Consider the following 6,000-nt stretch of genomic DNA (forward strand, 5'->3'; position numbering starts at 1 on the left):
GACAGATGTGAGTTAAAATAAGGAGGTGCCATTTTTATCTGTGAAATTAGCAAAGTTTTTAAAATAATAATGCTAATATGGGTGTCATAAAACTGACGGTGGCAATGTAAATTGGCATAATCTTTCTGAAAAACAGTATGGCAATGTTTCGATGTTTTGAGAGCATTCACAATGTTCCTGCCCTTTGACCTCCCTATAATTTCATTTTTGGGAACTGTTTTTTTATTTTTTTTTGAGACAGGGTCTCACTCCATTGCCCAGGCTGGAATGCAGTGGCAAGTTCACTGCAGCCTCGAACTCTCAAAAATATCTTGGTCTGGATGGTCATGTACATGGTCACCCAACTTTTTGGCCACATTAAGAGTTTTGTCTTTATTCTAAGAATAATGAGAAGCCATGATGGATTTTGAGCTAGAGGAGGTTGGGGGGTAGCATAATCAAATTTTAGTTGTGAAAATACTACTCCTGCTGCAGGGCAAAGAATGGATGGGAATATTGAAAGGAAAGGATAAATACCTTTAGATTAGTTAAGAGGCTACTACTGGACAACAGATCATGGTAGATTGGTCTAGGGTAATAGTAGCAGAGACAGAGATACTCAAATGGATTTGAGATTTGGTTTGAAGATAAAATGAATAGAACTTGATGATTGTTTGGATATGGAAAGGAAGAAAGTGCGAGGTGTCAAGGATGAGGCCAAGATTTCTGATTTGCAAACTAGAGGTTGGTATGACCCATTGAGATAGCAACAGAGATTTACACGAGCTAAAAATTTAAATGCGCGATATATCTGCATATCCATCACTGTCTAAAGGCACGGGCCTGGAGAACAAGGAAAGAGTTTGGGTTCAAAACTTGTTGATGTTCCTTTCCATTCACAGAGCCCTCTTTCAAGGCAGGACTATCCTATTTTCTGGTTGGATATTGGAGTCATTTGGTGGTCAGGCAAAAAAGAAGGTCCTTCTTAGCTGGTGATATGGGACGGGGAGCACCAGACCACTCTTAGCATGCAAATATCCCTTACTAACGCTCAAGTGCTTTTCACATGTACTGTTCACAAAACAGCTTCACATATAGGTTCACTGAAACCCACGACCTTGTGAGAAATTATAATCTACATTTAGGAAGCTGAGGGAGAGTTCTTAAATTACCTGTCCACAGAGCCAGTACGGGGCTGCTTTATGTCATCCTTTCACCTCCTATGTGCAGCCTCTAGGTGCAAGAGACTATCTTAAGGGCAACAGGAAACCTACCATATAATGGGGTCCCACTAGGTACCAGGCTCTAGCAGTTTAAAAAAAAGAAACACAACTTCAGAACTTCTAAGGATGTTTCCCACACACTTACCCCACAGTAAGTTCGCTTCTAAACTTTCAAAAAGTTTCACGTCCCAAGATGGGGTGAAGGTGAGACGGTGGAGATGAACCGGGGCAGACAGAGACCACCCCAAATACCGGACCCGGGGGAAATGGGGTACCAACGGCTGGGCCCCAGGAGACACTCGGAGGGGTCCGCGGGCTCGGCCCGGTCCCTCCGCTGGGGGGTTACCAGCCGGCCGGCAGCGAGATACCCAGAGGCCCGTTTTTCCACCGCGTTGCCATAGCAACGGCCTGGCCGGCTGCGCCCCGGGCCGCCCGCCCCATCCCGCGGGCCCGCCCTGAGCCAGTGACTCCAGGGACCACTCACCGCGGCCGGCGGACTGGCGGGTCTCCGACAGGTGCGCACACTCGGCGCAGGCTGTCGCTGAGCCCGGAATTCTGCACCGGGAGAAACTTTTCAGCCCGCAGAGCAACCGCAGGGCAGTGGACGGGGGCCGCGCGAGGACAAACAGCGGCGGCGGGTGCAAAGCCCCTTCTCCAAGCCGCGGGGTTGGCCGGGAGGTGCCGGCTGCACAACGGCGCCCACGTGACCCAGGTGCAGCCCCAGGCGCGCCCAAGGGCAGCTCGCCTTAGAGAAGGACCTAAAACCCCGTCTGGGGCACAGAGGAGCAGCCACGTGTTACGTAAAATAAAGCTTTGTAGCAGGAATATCACAGTACTGAGGTGATTGATGCTCAGGCCACTCTTCTCACTCGGAGTCAAGCCCATCAAGCCCCAGCCAGTTGGAGCAAGGGCTGCAAGCCTTGAACTGCAGTGAGTGGGGAGCTGGCCTAAAAAGACGGGAAAATGCTGGGGGGAGGGTGTTTGTCCCCACGCAGGGGCTGAGAAGACTCCTGACAGATCAAATGACGATTCTCAGGGATATGTTTTAGCTACAAACCTATGAGAACCATCTGAATGCCTGCCCCATGCAACAGAGGGTCCAGCTGTATGCTAATGTATTTACTGGCCTGAACTAAGAATGGCTTCTGTGGTCCTGGGTCCTACTCTCTAGCAGTGTGGGGAAGAAATTCAACTCTCCTAATACTAGCCTAATTATTTGAGGCAGATGTTCTCTAAAATTAGCTGATTGATAGCCAGTAACTTGATACGGCAGGTGGATTCATTGTATTGCTTCGGGGGAGGCTACATTTGGCAACTAGTTCATCCAGTCCTTTTCATCAAAAAACTCAAAATGGTCATAATGGGTGACTGGTAACTTCAAACTTCAAACCACTGGACTAGGCCGGGCGCAGTGGCTCACACCGATAATCTCAGCACTTTGGGAGGCCAAGGCAGGAGGATTGCTAGAACCCAGAAGTTCAAGACCAGCCTGGGTAACACTGGGAGGCCCCCATCTCTACAAAATTAAAAACTACCTGGCCACCAAAGGGCTGCAAGAAACCTACCATATAATGACGTCCTACTAGGTACCAGGCTCTAGGAGATTAAAAAAGATCTCCTAGGATAATCTCCCGCATCTTAAGGTCCTTAATCACATCTGTAAAGTGCCCTTTGCATATAAGGTAACATATTCACAGGTTCCAGCCTGGGCGACATAGCCAGCCCTGCCTCTAAAAACAAAAGCAACCACTGGACTGCGTTTTGCCCTGGATTAAACCAGACCACCAAAAAACTGTATGTTTGTACCATTTTGTCTTCACCGTTGGCAACATTGCATGAACCAAGTCATGTTTAGCACTATGCCATTTGCTTATATTAAGAGATGCTGTTTAAAAAAATTCATGATACCTCTGCATTTACTAGAGGGATTACTTTAAGAATGTTGTTTATTACATCTTTGTAGCAGAATCCTACCAGCTTGTCCAGCGCAGAGCTTTTCAAACTTTTTTGAGCACAATCCATCAAAATAAATATGTTTTACATTATCACTCAATACACAGGTACTCATATATTTAGTAAATGAAACAAGTTTTATAAAACATTACCCACATCACATGCTATGCACCCTGATACTTTTAATCTCTTTTTAAGGCTAGTTTCTACCCACTAATGGTTTCTTGACCTTCAATGCAAGTTGCATTTCAAAAACAGCAGTATAACCAGATGTCTTTTTCTGGAAACTAGACCTGGATCCTCAGACAAGGTAACCAGGCCACCTGACTACAGTTGATTGCTCCAATAGTAGGGACCTGACTCAAGATAAGGCAATCATATCCCTCTCCCAGGAATTTGGAATTAGGACAGAGAGATTGCAATCTTTCTCTAGGAAGCTAATGTGGAAACACAGAACATCTTTAAAATAGAAAATCAGAAGCCTTCAACAGACATACTTTCCCACCATGTGGCCAAAAGCAATGTAGAAAGCCAGGCTGCAGGGAAAATGGGAAAAGAAGAGGAAGGCTGAAAAAGATATACAGAAAGAAGAGACCAAAAGAGTTCTGACGGCTTTCCATTCCTAGTCATGGTATTTTCTGAAATGAATTGTATTCCTGCCTTTGAATTCCATATAGTATTTCCAACTCTTTGGAGTTGGGAGGAGGGGCCTACCACACTAATATAATCACCTATATGCCCCGTATAGGAGGGTCAATGCAAGAAATATATTTCAATCCTGAGTGCCAGAAAAGAACACTTTTTCCCTAGAGAAACTGACATGACTTTTTTTAATAAAGAAAGCAGACCATGAGATTGATCACATTTCCCTTTCACCTTGACTTCAGGAAGATAGCACCCAAATTTGCAACTCAATTTTAATAACTTTGTCAAACTACAGTTTGCATATCTGCATCACAACTTTCTCCTGTTCTCTTTCATTTCCCCTCATTCCTACTTTTATCTTTTTGTTGTACTGACTATTATTTTAAACTGCTTCAAATATTTTGCACTTGCTGTTTCCTCTTTCTGTAAGGCTCTGCCCCTGTATCTCCTAAAGCCTGGTTCCTTCTCATCATTCAGATCTCAGCTCACTTGCCACCTCCTCAGAGAAGCCTTCCTTGATCTTCCTACCTAAAATAGCCCCACCCCACAGTCTATCACATCACCCTGCTTTGTTGTCTCAGAGCACTTAACACCATCTAAAACAAGCTCTTTATTTTCCCTGTTTCCTCACCAGAAGCTAAGCTCCAAGACAGCAGGGACCTGGCCTCTTTGTTTATTGCTTGTTCCTAGTGCCTGGGAACAGTGCCTGGAACTTAGTAGCTAGTTAGTAAACATTATGGAGTTAATAAATAAAAGAATTAATAGAAGAAAGGAGGGGAGGGAGGGAGGCAGAGAGGGGAGGGGAGGGTTGAAGGAAAGAGATTTTGTTGAACATGGTAAGATATAGATGGATAGGTAAATAGGTGGATAGATAGACTGACAAATAGACAAATATTCATTTCCAGTGTGCAAATGTCACTAATATTTATAGAGAGGAACCAGAGGAACTATACAAGAAAGTAAAATATACTCGATTCCCTAAAATATATACAGAAAGATCCTAGGTTTCCTTGGGTAACTCTTGACATAATGCCTTAGACCATTTTTTTTAAGCATTCAAGTCGCTCAAGGCAGCTACATTAAATATTAGGGCTAGTAACCATAGCTGAAGTCATCAATTCTCAGTGAGATAATGGATTGCAACACCATGACCACTAACATGACAAATTCTTAACACTGCCAAGGAACTCAGTCTATTCTAGGGGCCGTTACTATACAACAATCTGCTCTCATTCTATCCCTGTAATTATTAATGTCACCACTAGCAACAAGTGCTATATGTTATTTACTTAAACACTCTATGGTAACGTTATTGTTACAATGCAATATCAAACTGCTTGACATTTAAGGAAGAGAAGCCAGAATTGAAATTTGTCAATAAAACAAAACACAGAAGCAATTAGTACAGTTTGTCCCAGGATTTGCTGACCCTATTGTAAAAATACCAGAATTTGTGGGGTGAGTGGAGGATTTCAGTTTTCTTAAGTCAAGAAGCAGTGGATTTATACATGTAATAAGGTTATCTCTGCTATTCAAAAAATTTTAAGAGACTCTATATAACAAAAAAAACCCTATAATTTTTTCATTCCATAAAACAAATTAAGAGATGCTTAGCTTATTATGTGTTATATTAAGATTTCCCCCTTCCTTCCTTCCTTCCTTCCTTTCTCTCTCTCTCTCTCTTTCTTTCTTCTTTTTCTTTCTTTTCTTTGAGGGGTCTCACTCTGTCACCCAGGCTAGAGTGCAATGGCACAATCTCAGCTCACTACAGCCTCAACCTCCTGGGCTCAAGTAATCCTCCTACCTCAGCCTCCCGAGTAGCTGGGACCACAGTCATGCACCACCACACCTGGCTAATTTTTGTATTTGCTATAGAGACAGGGTTTCTTCACGTTGCCCAGGCTTGTCTTGAATGCCTGATCTCATGCAATCCACCCACCTCTGCCTCCCAAAGTGCTGGGATTACAGGCGTGAGCCACCATGTCTGGCAAGATTTCTTAAATGGGAACATATCTTTGAAAAGTATATAATACAAAGTGTAACTTTTTCCTAATGAGATCTTTCTCTGATTACTGATAGGCTCTACCAATTTATATGTCTTTCCATTTGTTCTCTTCCCCTACTTTGACAAAATAAAACTATACCTTATCCATAACAGCTCAAAAATGAAATAAACATTTGGCAATTAACTTGGTGTGTC

General features: G+C 43.5%; 1 protein-coding gene across 51 annotated transcripts in view, besides 1 other annotated feature; it reads right to left on the reverse strand.

The window, feature by feature from the left end:
• The window catches only part of STK33 (serine/threonine kinase 33), a 259,405-nt gene extending 257,573 nt beyond the window's left edge, over positions 1-1,832 (reverse strand). For 34 of the 51 annotated variants that reach the window (NM_001289059.2, XM_047427463.1, NM_001352399.2 and 31 more), the window contains exon 1: positions 1,687-1,832. The gene's annotated coding sequence lies outside the window, so the exon portion shown is untranslated. Of the gene's footprint in view, positions 1-1,347; positions 1,581-1,686 lie in introns of those variants that run through there. The other 17 variants (XR_007062494.1, XM_011520297.3, NM_001289061.2 and 14 more) reach the window with 1 other exon arrangement.
• Positions 1,395-1,654: a silencer, noted in NCBI's record as "silent region_3114". NCBI's record gives its function as "represses an Ori minimal core promoter by ATAC-STARR-seq in GM12878 lymphoblastoid cells {active_cell/tissue: GM12878}" and the evidence as "EXISTENCE:reporter gene assay evidence [ECO:0000049][PMID:35858748]".
• Positions 1,833-6,000: the final 4,168 nt, after the last annotated feature.

This window comes from Homo sapiens, chromosome 11 (assembly GCF_000001405.40).
Source record: "Homo sapiens chromosome 11, GRCh38.p14 Primary Assembly".
NCBI lineage: Eukaryota > Metazoa > Chordata > Mammalia > Primates > Hominidae > Homo > Homo sapiens.